We start from the raw sequence: 25,817 nt of genomic DNA on the forward strand, positions 1-25,817 counted from the left end.
GCTTGTAATCCCAGCTACTCAGGAGGCTGAGACAGGAGACTCGCTTGAACCTGGGAGGCGGAGGTTGCGGTGAGCCGAGATCGTGCCACTGCACTCCAGCCTGGGCGACAGAGTGAGACTCCGCCTCAAAAAAATAATAAAAATAAAAATAAAATTTTAGGCAGTAGCAATTGCATGGTCGCTGTTGAGCACTAGTACAACATGCCACCCCATCTACAAGCTGATGGCTTTGACTTTCAGCTATCAGACGCCAAGGCTGACTTACAGGGGGACAAACCTATTGAACACAGTCCTTAACAAATGACTGACACCGGCTCGGCCTCATCAGTTCCCAGGCCCAGACAGACTCTGCTGCCACCTGGTGGCTGAAGGGTAGGCAAAGGCGGACAAGTGCAGAGCCACTCCACCTGACCTGCAGCCTGGACTTCTCCGCGTAACGAGGCTCTGCTAATATGGCAGGAAAGGTGTCATACCGAGGAGAAGCTGCTCGGCAAGATGTAAAGATGAACGGCTGGGCATTAATCGGCTGGTGCCTGGCAGGTATCTAGAATATTCTAACTACAAAACCTGCCTTTGCAAGATTTTTCTTCCCAGAGATTCTATTTCCTTGAACAAGCTGTGTATCCATTCATTCTACCACCTCACTCCACCCCATCCCACCTGAAGCAAGTTACAGCCAGAGAATAGTGAAAGGGACGGCTTTATCCTTATAGAAAGGAAATTTAAAGTGCCGGCTGTTGTTAATGAGCCCATTACTCCTAATTGGGGAAAATTGCAACCAGAAGAAAGGGGATATGTCAGGGAAACATGTGACAGGTAATGTGCTCAGGGCTGGCTGAATCCAAGGGCAAGGCACCTCGGGAAATGAAATGGGAAGAGAAGGTTCTTGGAAAATAAAAAACGAGTCCTTCCCTGGGTCCAAGAACACTGCTGGGTGGTGTGGTTGGAGCTGACAGGTGGAGGGGGAGAACGGGCAGCAGCCGGACACCCCTGCCTTGTAGGAAGAGGCCTGGCTCCACTGCCTAGCACTCATGGGGGACAACCTCCTATTCAGTGTCTAAATGTTCTCTCTGCGCGATGGGATTAGTAGTATTTCTTTGTAAAATAGCAGTGTAACAGAAATTATTCCCCAAAACAATATGTTTAGTCAGGCACCGAGCTAGGTCACCTTAACAAAGTCACAGAGAAATTCTGGAAGGTCAGTGTTATCATCCCCACTTAACAGAGCCAGAAACTGAGACCTGGAGAGGCCAAGCAGCTCACCCAAGGTCACACCTCCAAGCTAGCAACAATGCCTGTGTTCTTCCAACCCCGGGCTGCCTATGTCCAAGCGGAGCTCTCTCTTCCCACTCATGCTTGCCTAAAGCAAACACAGAAAGACAAATGATTCCAATATATGCAAAAGTGCACCATTTGCCTTTTCCAATTTGTATAATTTTAAATGTCACCACAAGTTCACTTCTAGGTCACTTTTAAAACAAGCAACTTTGCTTTAAGGCAAGTGGGGAAAAAAATTCTGCCTTAATTTGTACAGTTGTACAATCCACTGTTCAGTTTTCTACTTAGTTTTCCAGGGAACAGTTCAAACAGAAACAAATGACAATCTAGGACACTTATCTTGCCTATTGTGACTAACCACCACAGCGTTTGAGTTTTGTTTTGTTTTTTTTCCAGCTGGTAAAAAAGCCCTCACAGGAGGCTCAGGACCGCCTCCGGGCATACGCAGAGCCCTAGCGGCAGAAAAGAACTGTCAGCCGCATGAAAATGCAAGTGCAGCAGTGACCCGAGTCAGACCGACAAAAACAAACTAACTTTCAACACAGGTTTTCATCTCATTTCCTCAACTCCATTTGAAACACATATGCACACAGGACTGCTGACCAATTATTCCAGAGCTCAGTCTATACCACTTTACACATCTGGATGACTAATTTCAACTAAAGAAACTCCTAGAGAGTGTATTCAGTCTACACAGATCTGTTAATACATTGCTATGGGATGAGCTTCAACAAGCTGTAAAGTTTCGCTTTAACATTCAAATACAATCTTAGGCCAGGTGCGGTGGCTCATGCCTGTCATCCCAGCACTTTGGGAGGCTAAGGCAGGCGGATCACCTGAAGTCAGGAGTTTGAGACCAGCCTGGCCAACATAGTGAAACTCTGCCTCTACTAAAAATACAAAAATTAGCTGGGTGTGGTGGCATGCGCCTGTAGTCCCAGCTACTCAGGAGGCTGAGGCAGGAGAATCGCTTGAACTCAGGAGGCAGAGCTTACAGTGAGCCGAGATTGTGCCACTGAACTCCAGCCTGGGCGACACAATGAGACTCTGTCTCAAAACAAAACAAAACAAAACAAACAAACGAACAAAAAACAAATATAATTTTAAAGTCATTCTCTCATCCCAGAAACATCCCTGCTGGCCTATGAAGTGCCAGCCACTGTTCTATACATTGGAGACATTCTAATAGCAGAAGACGGAACAGAAAAGGATTTTTAAAAAAGTAAAACAGAGATAGACAAATGAGTTTTGCAAGGGCAAGCATTTGCTATTTTATCTAGGATAAGCAGAGAAGGCCTCTTTTATGGCATTTGAGCAGACAGCTGACAGAAAGGGAGAAAACCATGCAAAAAATGTAGAAAAGTCACTGCAAACAGAGGGAAGAGCAAGTGCAAAGGCCCTGGGGCATGTGTATGTTTACCAGCTGGCCCTGGGGCGTGCATATGTTTGGTGTGCACCAGGAAGAGGACCAAGGCCAAGGTTCTTTCTCTGAGTAAGGGTTTTGAACTGAGGCATGACAGGATCTGACTCATGTTCTAGAAGAATCACTGTGATGGCTGGGTGAAGAATTGCAGCGGGGCAGGAATGAGAACAGGAAGAATTGTAGTGGGGTAGAAGTGAGAGAGAAGTGAAACCCAGTTGGAAGGAAGGTGACTGCAATAGTCCAGGTAAGAATGGTGGTGCCTTGGACCCAGTGGTAGCAGTGAAAAAGGTGAGAGGCGCCTGGGCCCTGGATATACTCTGAACGCCCGTGGAGCAGACAGAACTGGCTGATGGCCTGGCTGTGGGGGTAAAAGAAAAAAGAGATATATATCCAAGGTTTCTGGCCTAAACAAATGGAGGACTGGAGGTCATGTCCTTCAGTGGAGAAGACTGAGCATGGTCCACCCTCAGGGAGAAAGCTCAGAGGCTCAGCTGGAGTGTGTTATCATCTGAGGCATCTATCAGAGGATACCTATCAGCCACCTCACCAGGGATGGGGAGCACCCAGCAGGGACTCCAGCGGGCAGCTGGGCTGTGGACTGAAATCCGGAGTCTGCAGCATTTAGTTGTTATTTAAAGCTGGGAGCACGCATGAGGTCATCTAGGGAGAAGATATAATTAGAGAAGTCAGAGGACCGAGCCCTGGGGCCTTCTACATCGTAAAGGATAAGGGATGAGGAAGAACCAGCAAACGAGATGGGGAGGAGTGACCAGTGAAGCCAAGCGAAGCAAGTGTTGGCAAGAAGGGTGTCAGTTGATTCCATGTGTCCAGCACTGCTGAGAGGTGAAGCAATTCCAAGACAGAATCCTATTCCTGTGGCAACAGGAACCTTTGGTGACCTTGGCAAAAGCTGTCTCAGCAGAGTGCTGGACGGAAGCCCTCATGGAGGAAAGAGGGTATGGAGAACTCGGTTCAGGAATTTGGCTGTGAAGGGAAGATGGGGCGGCTCTTGTGGTAGGGTTCGGAAGGGAGAGCTGTCCGTATGCTGGTGGGGTGCAGAACTTGATGGTGTGGAAGAGGGAGGACAACGCTGAAGTGTGCTCATTGGTGTTCCAGAGGTGGGGAGCCCAGGCACGAGGGAGGACAGATAGCACTACTCGCTCGCCCACCCACACAGGAAGGCAGGTGAGGGACATGTCCGGGAGCAGGAGCATGTTGTCTAGGATGGCCCGAAGTGAAGACAGCAGCTGGGAGTGAGAGGAGGGGTCTCAGAGTTGAGGGTCTAAAGGAACCTGGAGAGCGAGCGGAACTGCAGGGCAGCGTGAGGACCTGACTGCAGCTCAGCAGCCATGACCGACAGCGTGGCCAGTCAGCACTCGCCCTCCACCCCACCACGCGCAGTACAGCTAGCTGTTCAGGTGCAGGTGTAGAAGGCGGAGCGCGGCAGGGTTAGGCCTGGGGCCAGAGGGGTCCGGGCAGCAAGGGTCTAGGCAGAGATTGATGAGAAGGCATAGAGGATCTCAAGTCAGGGAGTGGGATAGTGAGAAGACAGCAGGATCAGTGAAGGTGGGGGTTGAAGAGCCTTGGAGGGGGCACCAGAGGCAGAGAAATGGAAAGTCAGGAGACAGCAGTCAGAGAACGGGAGGTGGATATTGAGACGGTGTTGTGGACTAGGGTGCAGTTATTAATGACTACGGCAAAGGTGTGCCTCCAGGAGGAGGTGGCTGAGACAGAGACGACAAGAAAGTTGCAGTGAGTTCTTCAATGACCTAAGAGGCCCCAGGGTACAGGAAGGTTTGTCTATGTCTATCCTGAATTACGAGAGATAGCTGCGGTCAGCCAGGAGCTAAAATCATCAGGTAATAAGGGAGAGTGGCACAGGGCCTGCAGGTGTCGGCAACAAGGTTAGGGGACGGCAATAATGTATAGTCCGATGGCATAAGCCTCAAGGTCACAGGATGGAGGGAGGAGGAAGGGGCACTGATCAGGAAATTAAATGAGGTTGTTGTGCTTTGCTAAACAGAATTAACACTGAGTGGATTGAAGATGACAGCTCCCGATCTTACTGCTCTCATTCCCCACCAAATCAGAGATGGAGGGGAAGAAGCCCTCACCACCCTCCATCCCTGCCACTTGCCTTAGTCCTGTGAAGGAGTCACAGCCTTAAGAGTGCTCTGGTGACTGCTTTGATCGACCAGATTTGATAGATCACAAGAATGCCATTATGGACGACAGTTTTTTTCCTGTGTATTGGACATAATAGAAATGAAGTTAAAACCAAAAGCTTGAGTCTCTAAGGCAGCATTCCCAAAACGGTCTGCCCTTACCTATTTTGAAAGAGTCACATGACTTCATCCGGGACCTGAAATGGATTTTCTCCATCTTAAAATCTCATGGCCTACGAATGACATTATTCACTGAACACTCATCCAAAGTGGCAGCAGCACGGAATGGAGGAGGGTCACTGCTCCCTAACAAATCACACCGTCGAGCAGCACAACACACATCCTGTATGTTTAAGTCATGACAACTATATGACCCTCTCGCTGACTAATGATCAACAAATGAGCCTCCAAAGGCCATTATCGAAACTCTTATGCTCATATTCTAGCCCAAAATGCACATTTGGGGATGGGGAAAGTGGTCTCAGGTCTGATTCATTGAATAAATATATCTCCTTTGATGGAAAGAAATGACAAATGTCGTGCCTTCCTCTTCCACTCCTATAAATGCTAGAAGTGCAGAGTGAAAGGTACAGAGTGGCCATGAGATGCATACTGTGGCTTCACGTGAGAGATGGGTTCTTTCCAGGCCTGCAGACAGAAAGGCCCACTGTCTTGATGGTGGAGTTCAAAATATTAACCTCAGACCAATCAAGTCAATATTCCACTTCAATTAGCTTTGCTACTCTGAGCAATCATGAGAGTTTCTGAAAGCAAAATGAGGTGAAACTGCCCAGAACCAATAATCAGAGCCCTTCTCCCAACACACATGCATGCATACATGTATGCATGTGTACACGTACAGTGAGAAAAAGATGACAAGATTGCTGGACAACTTCTCTAGTGGGCAGAGGGGTCCCAAGTACAGATCCTTGGACACTCAGGCCCACGATGCCCCAATATGCATTAGCAGAAATGGGGAAGCCCCTGCTCTTCCCCCTTGTCCCCAGCAATCAGCAGAAGGTTTCCAAAGGGGCTCAGGCCAGGCCAGTTCTCTGGGTGTCCAAATAGGCAGGAACTTCACCATCTCTCCTGCCTGTGTCTGGGGCAGGCAGAAAAAGAAGGAAAAGAAAACCCGTTTGCTACGGCAAAGAAGTTCCTCAAAGTCACATGAAACCTGGCCCAACTCGTGGGACCAGGGCCCAAGTGTTCCTTTGGCAAAGGCAAGTTCTCTTCAAAGGAGAATAGAAAAATGCCTGTAAAGGGGCGCCAACAATGCAGATGGGGAACTGTCTCTTGGCTGTGGTTGACCACCTTTCTACCATGTTTCTCCTAGTGCCCAACTCCCTTTGTTTTCAAAGAGTGGCAGAAAGTAGGATTTGAAGCCAGAAGAGACCTGCTCTTTGACTTATCAGATCTTAGGCCTTGGACAAGTGGCTTAATCTCTGAGGGTGAGGGTTCCTTGCTCCAAAATGAAGTTGCTGCTGCTGCACTCACTCTCACAATAAGTACCCGAAGACATGTAATAAGTGCTCACTTCCTGCTAGGCTCTGTCCGTAAGTGCCTTGTAGGCAATGTCCCACTTGATCACAAAACTCTGCAAAGTGGCCCTTATTATCTCCTCCATCTCACAGATGGGGAAACCAGGACTCCTCAGAGCTCTAGCACAGTCTACTGTGTGGATTAAATGAGATAATATAAAATACATACAGTGTCTGACACACAATGGTGATTTTTTAAAAAATGAGACTTCTCAACCATCTTTAAGAGAGTGATCATGCTTTGAAATGCATAACATGACAATGCTTTAAAATGCATACCTATATGTTTAAATAACATATGTGCAAAAAAAGAAAAAAAGGTCTGAAAGTATGCTCACCAAGCTATGCAAAGGAGTGACCTTGCAAGAAGAGGATTTTTACTTTTTTTTAATCTTCAGAATTTTGTTGTTGTTGTTTTGAGACAAGGTCTGGCTCTATAGCCCAGGCTGGAGTGCAGTGGTGTGATCTCAGCTCACTGTAACCTCTGCCTCCCAGGTTCAAGCCATCCTCCCTCCTCAGCCTCCTCAGTAGCTGGGGCTACAGGCATGCACTACCATGCCCAGCTAATTTTTGTAGAGATGTGGTTTCACCATGTTGCCCAGGCTGGACTCAAACTCGTGAGCTCAAATGATCACTGGCCTCGGCCTCCCAAAGTGCTGGGATTACAGGTGTGAGCCACCATGCCTGGACCAGAATTGGTTGTTTTAACAAGCAAATGTGACTTAAAACACATGAAAAAGCTCAGAAACTCTAAAAAATAGACATAGAAAAAATAACCTAGATGGAAATATGTCAAAATGTTCATGGCAATTGCCTGATGGATTTTTTCTGCTTCTTTTGATTTCTATACATGTTTTGGTTTTGTTTTTACTAATTCATTTTTTATGAGACAGGGTCTCACTATGTTGCCCAGGCTGGTGTCAAACTCCTAGGCTCAAGCAATCCGCCCCCCTCAGCCTCCTGAGTAGCTGAAACTATAGGCATGCATCACCACACCTGGCTTGCTTTTAGTCATTCTTAACACAAATACATTCTCCTTATGAAATTATGGCATACGCCTTTTGTGTTTTCAGAAGGCCTTCTCTACCCCAAGGTCACAAATATAATCCATTTTTTCTTCTAATAAACTCATCATCTTGTTTTTCATGTTTAGTTATTTAACCCATCTGAAATTTTAGTGAATGGTATGAAGTAGGACCCTTAACTGTTTTTTTTAAATACTTGGCCATGTGCTAAATAATCTTCCTTTTCCTCATAATTACAAATACTACCTTTATTAGCTATTGTTTCCATGTAAATTTTATTAGTTTCCATATTCTATTCCATTGATCATTTTATCTAGTTCTGTATCATTACCAACTTGTTTTGATCACTGAATCTATTTTGACATCTAGTAGGCAACCACCCTTTCTTCTAGCCTACGTTTTGTTTTTCCAAATTGATCTTGGCTATTCTTGCATATTCTTCTTCCAAATGAATTTAAAAATCAATTTGTCAAGTTCCATGATAAATCCTTTGGGATTTTGATTGAGACTGCATTTATTTATGGATTAGGTAGGTATCTTCCATCTATAAACATGTAATCTATCTCTATTCAGGTCTTTTATACTCATCTAATAACACTATTTTATAGCTTTTGTGAACAATACATTTTAGGTTCAGCACTCAAGTCTCTTAGTTCAAAAAAAACTTAATCTTCTTGCAATCATATTGTCTACAAATGAATGTTTTGCCTACTCCTTTCCAATATCTGAGAATCTTACTATTTTTCCTACTGGCTACAATAAGACTTGCAGAAACATACTGAATAGTACTGGCAATAGTGTTCATTCTTGTCTAATTCATATTTTTTGTGCTGGAGTGCAGTGGTGCAATCACAGCTCACTGCAGCCTTGACCTCCTGGACCCAAGGGATCCTCCCACCTCCGCCTCCCAAGTAACTGGAACTACAGGGGCAAATTACCACACCCAGCTAATTTTTTTTTTTTTCTTGTAGAGACGGGGTTTCATCCTGTTGCCCAGGCTGGTCTCGAACTCCTGAGCTCAAGCAATCTTCCCGCCTCAGCCTCCCAAAGGGCTGAGATTACAGGCCTAAGCCAATGCACCCAGCCGCAGCCTCTTATTCATATCTAATAGATTTGCTGAAACACTTCTCCATTAAGTAGGTTTTCTATGAGCAAACTTCATCAAGTTAAGGGTATTTCTTTCCCTTGCTAATTTTTATATATGCATGAGCAAGAATATCATCAAATGCCTTTTGGCATCTATTGAGATAAACATAATATTTTTTCTCCTATATAGATTTTGAAAAGTATATTGAGAGATTTTCTAATTTTGAATCAATCTTCCATTCCTGGTAAAAGTCCTTTTTAGTCACAATACATTTTTATTTATTGTAAACACAACAGAAATGTCTTTTCTCATAGCTGTGGAGGCTACAAGTCTGAAATCCAGGTGTCAGCAGGGCTCTGCTCCCTCTGCAGGCTCTAGGGAACAATCCTTCTTTGCCTCTTCTAGTTTCTGGTGGTTGCTGTTGATACATTTATTTTTGATTTTTTTTCTGTATTTATAAGTGAAAATACTCTATATGTACCTTTTATAAGAAAAATACATACCAAAAAAGGTACTATACATACATATTTTTGCATTATCTACTTAAAAATGCACAGGTAAAGATATGCTTAATTTTATATTTTAAAAAAGCCTGGTATGCAAATTGAATGCGTGCAAAGCAAACAAATGGAATATGTTTTAACCTCTACTTATTGAGTTCCCTATTTGGATTACTGCTGCCATCATTAATCCAGCCACTCAACTCCAGCAAGAATCACTGAAGTCTCCATTCCTTCCTCCCCACACTATCCCCGTCCAGGCATTCACCAGGTCCCAAACATTCTAAGGTCATTCTACCTCAGGTCTCCACTGGGAGGCTGCAGGATGGAATGGGGGAAGTCAGGATTTTAAGACAGATTTGGTTCCAATCCCATTGCACATGACTGCATTCTCTTGAGCAAATAACTTTACCTCTCTGGGCCCCAATTTCTTCATCTATAAATATACATGCTACCATTGAAGAACTGTGGTAAAAGTCAAATGAGATAACATATGTAAATTAACTACCACACCATATTTGCCACGGAACGCACGATCACATGGTAACACCAAGAACCTCCCCAATCCTCCTCTTCCCCTCGGCCCCTGCCCTAGGCCAGGCCTTCCAAACTTCACCTGCTCAATGATGTCTTCTAGTCTTTCTGCCACCTGGACATTGCTGACAAAGCTCACTTTCTAAAATATAAATGGAATCAAATACCTGTTTAAATCATGCTACTGGCTCCCATCTACCTACTAGATACCGTTCTAACTCCTTAGCATGACTTGTAAGGCCTACCTCAACCTACCTTTCTGGCCTTATCTTCCTCTACTCTGTTCCATGTACTTTACACTCCTGTATAGATGCTCCTCAACTTACAATGGGGTTAGTCCCAATAAACTCATTGTTGGTTGAAAATATTATCTAAGTGAAAAATGCATTTAATACACCTAACCTATCAAACATTGCATTAGCTTAATCTACCTTACATATGCTCAGAACATTTACATTAGCCTAGAGTTGGGCAAAATCATCTACCACAAAGCTGATTTTATTGTAAAGTATTAAATATTTCATGTAATTTATTGAATACTGCACTGAAAGTGGAAAACATAATGGCTGTATGGGTACTCAGTGTTTCTACTGAATGCCTACTGCTTTCATACCACTATAAGGTCGAAACATCATTAAGTTGCACCATCTATAAAAGTCAGGGACACTAAAATTTGCGCTTTCTCCTGAAACCTCAAGCTCTTTCACAGTCCTTTGCCTTTGTGTATGCTATTCCCTCTTCCAGAAAGCCTTTCCCTTCTTTTCTTCTAAGCAAAAATTCCCATTCAATCTTCTAAGACACAGCTCAACTGGTACTTCTTAAAAACACACACACACACACACACACACACACAACTAATTTCTGTCAACAATGCTCTGATGGCAGCTTTTTCTGCTATTCTTAAAATCATTTGCTTGTACTATGTCTTTCTCCATTCACTGAGGCAAAAACTGGGTCTTATTTTCCTCTTTATTAACTCCCCCAAAACTACATCATCTGTGTATTCAACACTTTGCTCCTGAATGAAACAATGAATAAAATAAGTAGAATTTATCTTAAAGAAGACCCTATTAACTTTTTCAACAAAGCAAGGCATCTTCTAATCATGTTAATCAGAGTTTCAAAGTTGATTTGTTAAGAAATCATAGGTTTTCTTAAGTTAGACGTGACCATAATGAAACCAATTTGCCCTCCTGGCAACTCTGAGGACTCAAGGAGCAATGGCAGAGCCGGCTAAGCCCTCCGGCACTCAGGGAGCAATGGCAGAGCTGGCTAAGCTCTCCGGCACTCAGGGAGCAATGGCAGAGCTGGCTAAGCTCTCCAGGACTCAGGGAGCAATGGCAGAGCTAGCTAAGCTCTCCAGGAGTTCTGATTAAATGCAGCCTGACTGAAAGGCCTCTGAAATAAGGACTCCACAGGTGCTGGCGGTCAGCCATAATCAGGAACCACAAGTATTATATTATTTAGAAGGAATGTATCTTCCAGGACATAGACTTGTTCTCAATGAACAATTTTCTTCCAGAAGTGCAAGCATCCTGCCGCTTCCTCTCTCCAAATAAATGAGTTTGATTCTATGATAGTTTCTTCCTGAAGATGGAAAACACAGCTCAAGAAAGAAAAGAAAAAAAAAAATCAGCAACATTATTTGTATAGGCTGCAATACTTTAAAAAAAAAAAAAAAGTAACCTTCCTACATCATAAAACCTCCCTAAAATATACACAATTCAATTGCACATATGGTGGTATGTATCACACACCCTGAACTAAAAGGTAGCCATGAAGGTCAAGAAACTCAGAATTTCTGGTAGCCACAGACAGAAACAGTTGCTCTAATTAGAAACTACAGAAAAAATATACAATAAACAGTATGATCTTAGTCTTAGAATCTTTTTAAGGAGCTCTACATGCAAGTCACAAAAATAATTCCTAATTTTAGAAAACAAATTATAATTTAAGAATCAATATTCCACAATAATTTTTAATAACAATTTATTTCCCTTTAAAAAGATCAAATGTTTTTCTCATAATATATTATTTTACAACAACAAAGAAAAAGAAAGAGAGAAGGAAAGACCTGAAGAGAAAGAAATAACCAGATTTTAGCTCAAAGAGTATAGCCTGGGATTAATTTTTTAAGATTTGTTTGTCAATTTCAAAAATTCAGCAGTGGAATAAAGAGCTTAATACAGGTATGCAAAAAGGAAGCCCTCGAGATGTTTTCACCAGGATGAAATGGGATTAGCTTTGTAGTTCTTATAATCTTCTTCACAGAAGAATGCAATTTCAGTTTCACTGGCTGAAAAAAAACAGAAAATGGAAAAAAAGATTTTAATGTAAATCTAAATTTTAAACAAGTATGGAAATCCATATGACTTTGATTCGGTATTTCAGAATAGCTTCAGATGCCCAAAGTGAAAAAGATGAGTTATTTGTTGGGTCGCACAATGCATTTTACCAAATCAACAAGAAGTTTCAGGTGAAGTTTTAAGAATCAAAACCTCAAATGATTTAAAAGTAAAAAAGAACAAAAAATAAAAAACCAAAAATTAAAATCAAGAGTTAATACAAGAATCTGGTTTTCAGGAAATCATAAAATTGCTCATTTACAGTCTTTTTTACAGTGCTAGGAAATAAAAAACCTTGATTTTTTTCTCAAATATGCTACTCAGGTACTGAAGGAAGGGGAGGGAAAACTCTTTTCCCCCCCTGAAATTAGCCTGTAGGTATAATAATTTAATACTTAGAGGATCAGTAGAATATTTTACAGATCACTTTACATTCTCCCTCATGACCCATCAAAATATGTGTCTGAAGAAGTTAATTTTTTGCCCTGCTTATGATTAATTCATGCGGCTTCAACAATATGCAAAGTGAAAGACACAAATTGGCTTCTACCTCAATACCTTCAAATACCTCTAATTATTCACAAGGGAGATGGCACAGCTAAAGGACCCATGAAGGTTCAGAGCAGTCACAATTCTTTCAACCTAGCAGGTCAAGGACTGCGTCTTCTATAACAATAAGTCAGCAACATTATTAATTCAGGCTAGAGACAAATCTGATGGAAAGCCTTCCAGTTATTAAACATGCAATTCTTTAAGGTGTTGTGCCAACAAGTTCCACATTCATTTTTCAAATTAAACCAGAAGTTAATACAGTCTGCTTGGCTTTTACAGAAAGAGCAAAAGGGCCTTCAGAATCTCCACAAGAAAACAGACAAGATTATTCGTAATGCATACTGAGCACTCAATTAACATACTCTCTAAAAACAGACAAGTAAAACTCTCCAAGTCAAATAAATAGCATAATAAGAAAGGGTGCCAAGGATTACCACTCGTCTCTTAGTTTACAACTCTCATCTCATCATTAGACTTTATCACAAAATAATGAAATTAATGAGATTAGCATGCCATTTCATTAAAAATGTTTTTGCTGTTTTCAAGAATATCCAATTTAATGTTTGTTAATCATAAGCTACCCATGCTCATTACAGAAAATAAACAAGTGTCAAAAGAAGAAAATAAAGCCACCCATAGTCACAGATCCTCATTCCAGTCCTCTACTATATCTTCAAGATTAAATTTAATCTGAGTAGATGAAAATCAGACTGCAACCTCGCATGACAAGGAGCCTGTGGGGGATACAGCACAGAGAAACTGGAGATCAATAAGGAGGAGCTGTAAAAAGATGCACCCTGTGCAAACAGTAAGTTAAGGTACAGTTAAATTTTACAAGAAAGTGGCATCTAAAAGAATGGGTAAAAGACTCCTCCACACTTGGAATCAGTGGGAAAAAGAAAATCAAGAAAGAGAGCTTCAAAAACTTCAATATTCAAAGATATTTGGAAATCTATCCCTTATAGAAAAAGCTCCTGGGGTTTCCTTTTTTGAAGCAAAGCATGCCCAGAGGTAGATGTATATAATTTGCAAGTGATTCTAATCAACCTTCTAATGAAGAATGAGCAAAAGACACCCTGTTCTTAATAATCACAGAGCAAGGTTTTATCTGTGATGTGCTATTTACATACAGAACTTTACACAGTGCTTTGCCCACACAGCACTTCGCTCAGTCCACGCTAACTGTAATTACAATTTTCACTTACTGCAGTTGACATTTATCTGAACCCCTTTTGAGAAACTAATATGTTGTGTGGCTCTTCAGCAATAGTAGGTTCAGAGAAGCTGCTGGAAAGCAAGGAGTTCTGTTTTGACACATAGGTTCTTTTGGATCCAGTTAACTGAAACATCAATCCATTATTTACATAAGGCATTTATGCTAGCTCTCAAAATGAGAGTCTGCAGTGTAAAGATTTTATTTTCAGATGACTGCACTTGTTTTCAGGAAATCTAGGTAAACAAATGGGTTAAACTATAATACTTCAGGCTGATTTAAAAAATTTTTCACCCTTAACAAATTGGAAAACACACAAATTAAAATTTACTCCAAACATTCAAAAGTAAAACATTAAATGGGTTTTAAATTTTAGTAATGTGGTCCTTAAGAAGAAGTAGAATATAATGTTTTCTTACATCTGTAAGACTCTGTGGAAAATGTTTCAGAGAATGATTTCAGGGACTTATGCTGCAAATTTATTTGCCAATTTATGTGAAAACCAATTATAAATGATTTTTAAGGTTTCTACATCATCACTTTCCACCATTATCCCTTAAATTCCTGCTTCCCAAATACTATTTAAAATGGCTCCTTTAAAACTGGCTGGGGATGAACCCTCAGGAAGTCTACCTTGTGCTGGTCCCCCAGGGCACCTGATTTTAAATTAAATGTGCTGCAGGCGGCAGTGCAGTCAGGTGCAGAGTGCCTTGGCATGGGAATCTGAAATGAATGTGCAATCTAAAATCCAATAAATACACTGCCACTTCATCCCTTCGTCTTACTATCAAATGAAACCAAGAACCCTCCAAATACATTTGCAGGATCCTTTTAATACTGATGTTCAAGTTTAATGAAATAAACACAAGCTAGGGCTTTCAAACTTTGGATATAAAATTAATCATTTTATAATGCTTCCAGACAGACAGACAAGACACACACACACACACAACTTTAACAGGAACATAATGATAATGACTTTAAATGAAAGAATATAAGAACAATCGATTTTAAGTATAAAATCCCAAGAAAAATTAAATGCAATGTATTTAAACTCTTAAACTAATTTATCTCAATAAACTCATCTATCAACAAGGATTTACCCATATGTCTGAGTCCCTAGCCTCATGCTAGTCAGCACCAACGTAGTATGAGGCACAGCCCCTGTTGTCTGGAAAAAGGAGCCTGAGACACACGCACTGATTTTGTGGTACAGAAAATCCACAATCTTGGAAGCTGACATGTGACAATAACTGCACACTGTTGACAAAAAAAAATACAGGAAGGGCGAGGTGTGGCTTCTGTGGCAATCTGAGACCAAAAGGACAAAGTTTCACCCTCTCTCCCGCTCTAGGAGTATAGCCTAGCCTCCCAAATGTCATAAAATCCTAATCTATAAATCATTCAAAGCTGTGCTCACAGCTGAGTTATATTTCTAAGTTTTCATCACCAACAGACGTCCCAAGTGCTGTGCCTTTTATTTCATGACTTGCTTCAAATATTTGTTTTGGATCTGCTGGCAGAGAAGATTTCAAACTACAGTTTGAAGAAAACAACTAGCCAAAAAAAAAAACAACAACAAAAAAAAAAAAAAACAAAAAAAACCTCGGTCTTTGATAGACTGGGTACATGCCTGTAATTTCCACCATGGTGTGGGAAGGTAAAACGGGAAACACTCTACAGAGGTTCACTCTGAGTCCTGCTTCTGGAATCCCCCAGTTTCCTGGGTCCGACACCCACATTACCGAGTAACCAGATTATCACTGTTTCTATGTAAGAGTGAAGAACGGCCACCATAACATACTGTCGAAGGAAGAAAACACGCATGACCTAAAATATTGCTACCCAGAAAAAGAAAGGGAATGGGACTCACACCTTAAGGAAACACAAATCAAACATCATCCCGAAAGAGAAGGGGGAGCCACAGAATCCCACAATATTAGCTGTACAGACAAGATCACCCAAAGGGGCGAGGCGTGAACGACAGGGTTCCAGTTGGGGGCAGATGACAGAAGTGACACGCAAAATGAAAACGAACCACGAGGGAGTTCTGGAATTATTACAGGACCTGGCTTGCCGAGAATGCTTCCCTCAGATAAACACTTAGAGTTTGGCCGCTGTATCTTGTTTTAAAATGTTTCCAATGAAACACAACTGGCTTTGGAAGAGTTACCCAGCCACAATTTCTCTCTTAAACCAGACCAGATTCGAAAGACAACAGTAGTAGAATGTAGCAAAATGAAAGAGAGAAAATAACACTTAAAAAAAAAAGCTTACATGTAAATTTATTACTTAGGGGAATTAGCCCATAAAACTACAATTGCTGACAAAAAATTATAAGTAACATTTCTAGGTAAAAGTCTCTTCTTGCTTCTACTGATCAAATCTTTTTGAAGTACGTATTTTCGTACTGGGTCCACAAGCAAAAACTCCACTGACGTCAGGTGTAGAATGTTCCACGGGGATCTGCAGTGCAGATAAAAAGCCAAAGGATGAACTAGAGAATTTCTCCCTGAGAAAAGAAATCTTCAAACACCTTTTTTTCCCCTAATTTCCCCACTTGCAGCCTTTCTTTTCCTTTCATGACTACTGCAGAAAAGTCCTAACGATAAATTTGTTACCCTGGCATTATTCCCATGGCAACTGGCTGTGATAGCAGTGACAGCTCTACAGCAAGATCAAGCAGTGAAAAGGGAGACAGAGATGACTTCGAATTTTTCTCTTAAACCTCTTAAAAATCTAACCAGACACGGCACTGAGGGAGGGAAAATTCCCTAGAAAAATCACATATTTCAGGCCAGGCACAATGACTCACGCCTATAATCCCAGCACTTTGGGAGGCTGAGGTGGGCAGATCACTTGAAGTCAGGAGTTCAAGACCAGCCTGGCCAACGTGGTGAAACCCCGTCTCTACTAAAAATACAAAAATTAGCTGGGCGTGGTGGCACATGCCTGTAATCCCAGCTACTCAGAGGCTGAGGCAGGAGAATCACTTGAACCTGGGAGGCGGAGGTTGCAGTGAGCCGAGATCGTGCCACTGCACTCTAGCCTGGGCGACAGAGAGAGACTCTGTCTTAAAAAAAAAAAAAAAAATCACATTTCAAGTATCATTTTCACAACTCAATTCTCACTAGAATTTTTTGTTGCTCTCCAGGTACCCTCATCTCCTTCCCCAGGTATAACCTCAGCTTGTCCCCAAGAGCATAGCAACACCACTCTAGATAACAAAGAGAAAATCGCTCCCTGCAGGGACCCAAATCACCCCGAGCCCAGGGTTGCTGGCTTGCCGGAGTTCGGAGTTAGGAGTTCGGAGGGCAGTTTGGAGTCCTCACAACACCCTGAAATGAGTGGAGAATCTGGGAAAATAATCTGACTCTGATCCAGGACCAATAGCCTTAAAGTAAGAGGACAAAAAGAGGGATTTGCTTCTCACCTTTACAGATGGTTCATTACATAAGTCAGTTTGAAATTAATCACAACAAGACCAACAACTCAATATTTTAGTAAAGTCAAAACTTGCCAACTGCCTTCTCCAGGACAGTTTCCAAACAAAGCAGTTGTTCCTGAGGGCCTTTTACACACATCACTCCGGATGCCTTCATTGTTTTACACAACCTTTATGACAACCTTCTAGAATAGGTTTCATTATTCTGTTTTTACAGAAAACAAAATAGAGTTTCAGAGAGGATAAGAGGCTTACAGAAAGCAAGCAAAGCACACAGCCTTCATTCTAACCGATTTTCCCCAACTTCATGGGTTTATACTTTTAAAAAAAATTCGTCCTTTAATTACAAGGAATACATGTAAACTGTAGAAAAATTTTTAAATCACCATAAAAGCAATTAGATAATACAGAAAAGAAAGAAGAATATCAATTACTGGCAATGCCAGCACCTCAAGAAACCATTTCTATAATTTTGGCGTATGATCTTTTCTCCATATACGCATAAACAATAATCTTACATGTATACTTTAAACATTTTAAAACAATAATGGGGTCGGGCACAGTGGCTCATGCCTGTAATCCCAGCACTTTGGGAGGCCAAGGCAGGTGGAAAACCGAGGTCAGGAGTTCGAGACCAGCCTGGCCAATATGGCAAAACCCGGTCTCTACTAAAAAATACAAAAATTAGCTGGGCATGGTGGTGCACACCCATAATCCCAGCTACTCAGGAGGCTGAGGCAGGAGACTTGCTTAAACCCAGGAGGTGGAGGCTGCAGTGAGCTGAGATTGTGCCACTGCACTCCAGCCTGGGCGACAGAGCAAGACTCTGGTCTCAAAACAAAAACAAAAACAAAAAAACCCAAACAATAATGGTATCACACAGTATGTTCTATTTCTATTCAATAAATCAAGCTCTACATCAGTGCTTCACATACAGGGAAGGTCAGGGCTAACCCCACCACCCTTCTGAAGACTTAGCACAACCTCACAGCTTGTCCCTGTTGGCTTAGAAACAAGTACCATTGAAATTCAAACTTGAGAAAGTCTTATTGGTCAAACCGACCCACAGAAAATTCAAGGTCATATTCATTCCCGACGGTGGTATAAGAGTATCCATTTTCCTACACCTTGAACTCCCTTGGACAATGCCACTTTTTCATGTCTGCTAATCTTATAACAATTGCTGCTGTCCAAGGTCACCCAGACAGTAAAAGACAGAATCAGGTTTTGGACCCAAGCACTCTGGCTCTGGACTCTGTTATTTTCATAGAGATGAGCATGCTAATTGTTGTGCAGGCTAATCTAGAGCTCCTGGCCTCAGGCGATCCACTAGCCTGGCATCCCAAACTGCTAGGATTACAAGCATGAGCCACTGCACCTGGCCCCAGACTAGAGTCTTAACACTAGACTCTACTACATAAAACAGTATCTATGTACTCATTTCTAATAAGTACTCATTCTCTCCTAATAAGGTGGAGCTATTTTTTATGTGTGAGTTATTTCTTCTATCAATAGAATTTTTCTTTTTCATAGTAATTACAAGGGCTCTTTATAAAGTCAGGCTAGTAACTTTTCTTTTTTTCTCTTTTTCTTTTTTTTTTTTTTTTTTTTTTTTTTGAGATAGAGTCTCACTCTGTTGCCCAGGCTGGAGTGCTGTGCTGGAGTGCAGTGGTATGATCTCAGCTCACTGCACCCTCTACCTTCCAGGTTCAAGCCGTTCTCGTGCCTTAGCCTCCCAAGTAGCTGGGATTACAGGCGTGTGCCACCACACCTGGCTAATTTTTGTATTTTTAGTGAAGATGGGATTTCACCATATTGGCCAAGCTGGTCTCGAATTCCTGACCTCAAGTGATCCTCCCCGCCTTAGCCTCCCAAAGTGCTGGGATTATAGGCATGAGCCACCATGCCCGACCCCAGGCTAATAACTTTTTATCTGTTGTATATGCTGCAGATATTTTTCAAAGTTTATTGTTTCTCCTTTAACTGTGTTTACAGTTTTTAGTTTATAGGTAGTCAAATTTATCACTTCTCCCCCTTTATGGCTTCTGTCTTTGAGCTCATGCTTGGAAAACTCTTCTCCTTCCCAAGATTATGAAATTATTGAACTACACTTTCTTTTTAAAAAATTTTTTTACATTATAACATTTAACCCATCTACAATTTATTTTGTAATAAAAACAGAGATGAGATACGAGTTTGAATTTTATTTTCCTGAATGCTTTGGCAATGGGCTTGACATAATTTTCTGGCTAAATCATTCTTTCCTCACTTATTTGAAATGTCAACTTTATCATCCTGTGAAATATTACCCTTTTTTTCATTTTTGGATTCTCCAGTGTTTTCCATGGAGCTGTCTGTCAACACCCCCATTAATATCAGTCTGTAATATTCATTATGCTTTATGCTTTAACAACAAGCAGGGCTACCTTATGGGTGCTACATGCCCCAATCACAAAGGTGCCACCTGCTACAATAATATAATAGCATTTAAAGAAACAAATGCCAAATTTAAAATCATTCTTCAAAATAACAACCTTACATATTCATAACATGGAAAGACAAGAATATTCTAGCAAATATTGTAGACATCAACACAGAAATCAAGTCTAAGATTTCACAACATGGTATTTAAGATCCTATTTAACTCAGAAGATCTATGTCAGGAATTCATGCTCATCACGTGAATCAATCAGAAGTAAATTCCTGATACAAGTGATTAAAGTAACTCAAAATAATACTTGTCAAAAAAAAAATTCAGGCTCCCAATGTGCACCTCACTAACCGTGTTCCTTAACAAGTGCATATAAATAATTATGAACAATGTGAGGCCGAGGCAGGCAGATCGCCTGAGGTTAGAAATTCGAGACCAGTCTGGCCAATATAGTGAAACCCTGTCTCTACTAAAAAAATACAAAAATTAGCCAAGCGTGCTGGTGCACACCTGTGGTCCCACCTACTCAGGAAGCTGAGGCAGGAGAATCGCTTGAACCCGGGAGATGGAGGTTGCAGTGAGCCGAGACTGCACCACTGCACTACAGCCTGGGCGACAGAGTGAGACTCTGTCTCAAAAAATAAATAAATTAATAAATAATTAAGAAGAAGCATGGCTTGTGACACTGCATCCGTCACCAACCGCAGAGGTGTGTGAGGGGCACACTGCCTTTAACCACTCAGACCTCCCTGACAATCTCCACTCCCTCTCCTGCCAGATCAGCTTTAGGTGTACATATACGTAGAATAACAGTGACATCTAATGGTCACAAAACATGTCACATAACATTTATTTAGAATAAAACCACATGCACATTCTAGGCTGGAAGGCCCAATCAGGTACTTTTCAGCTGCACACACCAGGTTCCTATTTTAAATTCCATGCCTTGGTGGGCCCTGAGTGATTCGGAAGACTATCAAAAACCACACTGCATGTGATACCAACAATGCGTTTCATTATTCCTCATTAGTTCTTACTATGTCCATTTCTCTCCAACCATCGGCTCAAGTGACAATGATAAGAGTAAGTAGACGTGGTACTTACAACCCGTCACTTAAAATGACCCTCAGGAGAATTCTGAGCATACCTTCTGAAAACAGCCATTTGCATTCTGCATATTTGGAGAGCAGACACCTACTGTCCTCAGCCAAGAGATCGGAATGCACATCATTCTCATCCTCCTCCTCTGAACAGTTACCGGGCAGTGTCAGGGGGACCAAGGACAGCATTTACTTTCCAGTGAGTTATCCAAATACCATCAGCCAGGCCTCAGGATAGGCCGGCAGAGGTCCCCCTCCAGCAACACAAGGCCCCCTTCCTCACCGATTCCAGCTGCTTTCAGAGTGCTGTCTTCTTTCAGCAGGAGTCTTTCGTCATCTTCCAAACTCAACACAAGTTCATTTGTCTAAAAAAAAAAAAGAAAATCTGCATTTTATCAGTACTTACATGGGTTTGTTTGGTGAGACTTCTCAAAGACACAGAGTTGTAACTCTGAGCACAGCAATAATCTAAGTAGATTCCACTGCCCTGGCCGTAATGAGGGCAGTGAACAGAGGCACAGTGAGGTCCTGCCGAGCTCACGCACCACATAAAGCAGTGGGGACAGTTCTGTGGCATGGGCGTGAAGTCAGATCAGGATGCAAATCCAGACTCCACCAGCACCCAGCTGTGTGTTCTCAACAAGCTACACAACCTCTCTAGGACTCGATTTCCTCATTGGTAGAAAAGGGGAGGAGAGGCCCCTTCCTCATCACCTGTGGTAAGGGTGACAGGATGGGGCATATAAACCCTCAGCAGTGCCGGCCGCAGGGTGAGCACTCTCTCTTAGCTGTCACTGTTCTTTTGCTGCATCATCATCATCATCTTCTGCCATCCTCACCTGGTCAGCGACAGAGCTGAGCTTCCAGCTCTGGCCAGTCCGACTTCTGAGAGAAGCAAGTATACTTCCTTTTTTCGTTTTGTTTTTCGAGACAGGGTCTCACTCTGTCACCTAGGCTGGAGTGCAGTGGCGTGATTATGGCTCACTACAACCTCAGTCTCCAAGGCTCAAGCAATCCTCCCATCTCCAGCCTCCTGAGTAGCTGGGACTGCATACATGTGCCGCCAAGCCTGGCTAATTTTTTTTATTTTTAGTAGAGACGGGGTCTCACTATCTTGCCCAGGCTCGTCTCAAACTCCTGAGGTCAAGTGATCCTCTGACCTTGGCCTCCCAAAATACTGGTATTACAGGCATGAGCCACCACACCTGGCCACAAGTATACTTCAAACGGCCAGAAGTCCACATATCTAAAAACCTTGCCCAAGCTAAAAAACATCTGGTTCCATGTCACATTAATTGGAATATTTCTCTATGTGATTTGGGGTGGGGGTAAATGAGAGTGCTCTCCAGTGATATTTACAAATCCAGTGAGACTCATAAATACAAGTGAAAATTTAAACTTGCTATTGACTGGGTGCGGTGGCTCATGCCTGTAATCCCAGCACTTTGGCAGGCCGAGGCAGGCAGATCACAAGGTCAGGAGATCGAGACCATCCTGGCTAACATGGTAAAACCCCGTCTCTATTAAAAATACAAAAAAATTAGCCGGGAGCGGTGGCAGGTGCCTGTAGTCCCAGCTACTCAGGAGGCTGAGGCAGGAGAATGGCATGAACCTGGGAGGCAGAGCTTACAGTGAGCTGATATTGCACTACTGCGCTCCAGCCTGGGCGACAGAGCAAGACTCCATTCAAAAAAAAAAAAAAAAAAGTTGCTATCTGCCCCTAAATAGCACAAAGAGATAACCACTAGTGGCACACAGCACTACTTGTCAACCAGAACACACCTGTTTAGCAACATATTCTATTTGTAGAATACAGCTGAGACAGAGAGTCAACAGAAAGGCCTCTCAGCAGCCAAATCAGAAGCCCAAGCCACGCAGGGTTTATGGACCTCATTCACTGCAGAGCACAGGGGCTTAAAACTCCAGAGCATACAGATTAAAAGAAAAAATACTTTACTCAAAAAATCATTTTAGAATAGGTAATACAGTCTGTAATCCCAGCACTTTGGGAGGCCAAGGCAAGAGGACTGTTTGAGCCCAGGAGTTTGAGACCAGCCTGAGCAAGATAGCAAGACCCGATCTCTACAAAAAAAAAAAGTTTTATTTAATTAGCTGGGTGTGGTGGCACACATCTATACTACTAGATACTCAGGAGGCTGAAGCAGGAGGATATCTTGATCCTGGGAGGTAGAGGTTGCAGTGAGCTGTGTTCATGCCACTGCACTCCAGCCTGAGCAACAGAGTGAGATTGTGTCTCAAAAAAACAAAAAACAAAGAATAAGTAATATCTACTCATTATACAAAGTTCTCCAAGCATATATGAATAGAAAGTGAAAAGTCAGTCTCCTTCCAATCCCCATCCACCAGCTATCTAGTTCTCCAGAGAGGACTGGGACCACTGAGAGGACCTGTTTCCCACACCCTCCCAACACAGTATATTAGCAAAGCCTTCTGATCCTTGCCAATCTGACAGGTGTGGATTAAGTATAGTCTTAATTTGTATTTTATTATGCTTAAAGTTCTGAATATTTTCTATTTTTTAATGGAATTGTAGGCTAATTTTTCCAATAGAATTGTAGAGTCTAGAGCATCTTCACATGCTAAGGAAATTCGGCCTTTTCTGTAAGTTAGAAAAATTTCCCCCACTTTTCATTTGTTCCTTGCTTTTCTCAGTGGTTTTTTTTTTTTTTTTTTTTTTTACATAGAAGGTGTTAAATGAATTTTCGTGGAATAAATAAGTTAGTGAATGAAGTAAAATGTATCAATCTCATATCGTTTCTCAGTTTTCTGTCATATTTAGAAAGCCCTTCTTCACGCCAAGATTTTTTAAATTCCCTGTTCTCTTCAAATATTTTTAAGAATTTCATTTTTTGAATTTTTCATCGTGGAGAATTTCAAATATACAATAGATACAGAATAGTGTAATAAACCCCCTGCCCTGTACCCAGGACCCAACTTGAACAAATTATCAAGTCATGTTCCATCTGTTTCATCTCTATCCTCATCTATGGGTTTAATTTTTTAATCCAAGGGGTATTTATTTTGGCATAAAGAAAAATACATGGATTCAACTTAGCTGTTTTTTAGATGTTTATGCAGTTATTCAAATACTATTTATTGAGTCCTCCATCTTTTCTTTACAAACTTGAAATGCCATATTTACTATACATTCAATTTCCATATTTGGAAATATTGGGGTCTATTTTGGAACTTTTAATTCTGTGCCCTTAAACTACCAGTTCATGTGACAGTGCCATACTGTTCTAATTACTATCGTTTTATAACATGTCTTATATGTTAGAGCTAATTACTCTCATTTCTCTTTTTCAAAATTCTCCTGATTATTCTTATTTTTTACATACTGATTTTAAAATCAGCTTATTTAGTTTACATATAAACACAAGTATTGTATTTTATTGGGGCAGCATTAAATATGTAAATTAAGAGAGAACTGATTTTACGCTGTTGTATCTTCCTATCCAAAATATCCTAAGCATTTCTATTTAAGTCTTATTTTGGAACTCTCATAGCAGGTTTTGTTTTGTTGTTAAGTTGAAGTACAGTTTCACACAATGAAACGCACAGATCTTGAGAGGAGTTCACTTTAATGGGTCTGAAAAATTAATCGCAGAGTTTAGATGCGTATTTTCAAGTGTGTGTGTGGTGAGGGGTGAGGAAGGACAGCAGCATTTTAAGTTTTCTTTTTAAAGACCTTGCACATTTCTTATAAAGTTTGTTCCAGGATATGACTTCCACACATAAAATGGAAATTAAAGTTTTTATTTCAATCTTAATAGAAATTATTCCGACTTTATAAACACACCACTGATTACCATCCATAATACACACACACATACACACACACACACACAGAGGAGGCTCGGGTGGGAAGGTATCCAGTCAGTCTTTTTATTGTGGGAATGGGAAGAAATTTCTGAGGATATGTAGTAACTGCAATTAGGAAAGTCTCTAAGCCCAGAAAATTAGGGAAATGGGGAAAATGCCTTTTATGAATGAGTTCATTAAGACAAAGGAATTATTTAGAAGTCTCTCCTTTCAGCTGACGAAGGAGATTAAAATTACAGCTGAGTTGGAACACTAACAGGCCAAGCCAGCAATGCCACAGGCCCCGCAGATGGGGAATAGAAAATGAAAGGACAACAATAACTTGGAAATGAGAAAAATGACTGTGAACTGGATAAGGCACAAATGAGGACATGTGGATGAAGTTTCTCTGAAGTTTTAAAACCGTATCTGTGAAAATATATTGAACTCTTCCCTTAGAAAAGTTGAAGCAGAAACTTGCAGAACCATCCCCAGGGCATCTTAACTAGCATTGTTATGATTTGGATCAAAGTTCATAAAGCCAGATTCCAGAAGCACTCTGAGTGACTTAATTGTTTTGGGAGTCCTCCCTTAAACAAATACATTGTTCAACTGGAAAAACAAGCCCTAATTTTATAACTAGAACCTGCCAGTGTGAAACATATGTCTTAAATATAAGTAACAATTCTAAGATTGTTTTGTCTTCCGATGACAGGATAATTTCCAGATTTTTTAAATGTTATAATACTGATAATTTGAACATGATGAACTATGTCTCCACTAAGATAAAGGAATAATTTACTACTTACTCCTTTTTGGCAACATGAGCATATGAAAAGCCAAATGATGTAGAACATGCAGCAATGAATGGAGAATGGGGACTTGCTTTGCTTTACAACCTTTTTGAAGAGCGTATTGTTTTATTTTAACTTTATTTTATATTTGTATTTGTATTTTAGATGTATATAATACACAAAAATATAGAACATTACCTATTCTCTACATTTTAGGAATGAGGTTGAAAACATTCCTGTCCCAGAGGAGAGAAATTGGACGAAGTCCAAATATGGTGGCCACACATTCTAGTACCAATCAAAAGGGCAGATTCCATACCACAGCCCCAGACACGTGTGAGCATGACATTTTGAGGCATTTCACAATGGATATTGTAAAACTGGCATATACAATCCTTGGTATAAAAAATAAAGTTACTAGAAGGAACCAAGCCTACTAAACCCTTGACTTTTGCTCAGTGAAACTGATTTTGGACTTCTGACCTCCAGAATTGTAGGAGAATAAATGTGTGTTGTTTTAAGCCACAAAAATATTTTTTAAATAACATAAATTTTAAAACAC

At 41.2% G+C, this 25,817-nt stretch overlaps 1 protein-coding gene across 9 annotated transcripts in view, besides 6 other annotated features; it reads right to left on the minus strand.

Annotated features, from left to right (window-relative positions):
- Positions 1-25,817, minus strand: part of C2orf76 (chromosome 2 open reading frame 76) — an 86,022-nt gene that overhangs the window by 9,573 nt on the left and 50,632 nt on the right. For 5 of the 9 annotated variants that reach the window (NM_001322329.2, NM_001322330.2, NM_001017927.4 and 2 more), the window contains 2 exons: positions 20,920-21,001; positions 11,523-11,846 (listed from right to left, as the gene is read on the minus strand). In NM_001322329.2, coding sequence (NP_001309258.1) covers positions 11,770-11,846; positions 20,920-21,001 — 159 coding nt within the window. In that variant the 3' untranslated portion in view covers positions 11,523-11,769. Of the gene's footprint in view, positions 1-11,522; positions 11,847-20,683; positions 20,783-20,919; positions 21,002-25,817 lie in introns of those variants that run through there. The other 4 variants (XR_007069611.1, XR_007069609.1, XR_001738623.3 and 1 more) reach the window with 2 other exon arrangements.
- Positions 1,348-1,849: an enhancer, noted in NCBI's record as "NANOG hESC enhancer chr2:120049626-120050127 (GRCh37/hg19 assembly coordinates)". NCBI's record gives its function as "activates a minimal SCP1, AML or CMV promoter by ChIP-STARR-seq in naive H9 embryonic stem cells {active_cell/tissue: H9 hESC(naive)}" and the evidence as "EXISTENCE:reporter gene assay evidence [ECO:0000049][PMID:30033119]".
- Positions 3,510-4,010: an enhancer, noted in NCBI's record as "H3K4me1 hESC enhancer chr2:120051788-120052288 (GRCh37/hg19 assembly coordinates)". NCBI's record gives its function as "activates a minimal SCP1, AML or CMV promoter by ChIP-STARR-seq in naive H9 embryonic stem cells {active_cell/tissue: H9 hESC(naive)}" and the evidence as "EXISTENCE:reporter gene assay evidence [ECO:0000049][PMID:30033119]".
- Positions 4,011-4,511: an enhancer, noted in NCBI's record as "H3K4me1 hESC enhancer chr2:120052289-120052789 (GRCh37/hg19 assembly coordinates)". NCBI's record gives its function as "activates a minimal SCP1, AML or CMV promoter by ChIP-STARR-seq in naive H9 embryonic stem cells {active_cell/tissue: H9 hESC(naive)}" and the evidence as "EXISTENCE:reporter gene assay evidence [ECO:0000049][PMID:30033119]".
- Positions 16,631-17,132: an enhancer, noted in NCBI's record as "NANOG hESC enhancer chr2:120064909-120065410 (GRCh37/hg19 assembly coordinates)". NCBI's record gives its function as "activates a minimal SCP1, AML or CMV promoter by ChIP-STARR-seq in naive H9 embryonic stem cells {active_cell/tissue: H9 hESC(naive)}" and the evidence as "EXISTENCE:reporter gene assay evidence [ECO:0000049][PMID:30033119]".
- Positions 21,256-21,315: a silencer, noted in NCBI's record as "silent region_11903". NCBI's record gives its function as "represses an Ori minimal core promoter by ATAC-STARR-seq in GM12878 lymphoblastoid cells {active_cell/tissue: GM12878}" and the evidence as "EXISTENCE:reporter gene assay evidence [ECO:0000049][PMID:35858748]".
- Positions 22,570-22,669: an enhancer, noted in NCBI's record as "active region_16447". NCBI's record gives its function as "activates an Ori minimal core promoter by ATAC-STARR-seq in GM12878 lymphoblastoid cells {active_cell/tissue: GM12878}" and the evidence as "EXISTENCE:reporter gene assay evidence [ECO:0000049][PMID:35858748]".

Source organism: Homo sapiens, chromosome 2 (genome assembly GCF_000001405.40).
Source record: "Homo sapiens chromosome 2, GRCh38.p14 Primary Assembly".
Lineage (NCBI taxonomy): Eukaryota > Metazoa > Chordata > Mammalia > Primates > Hominidae > Homo > Homo sapiens.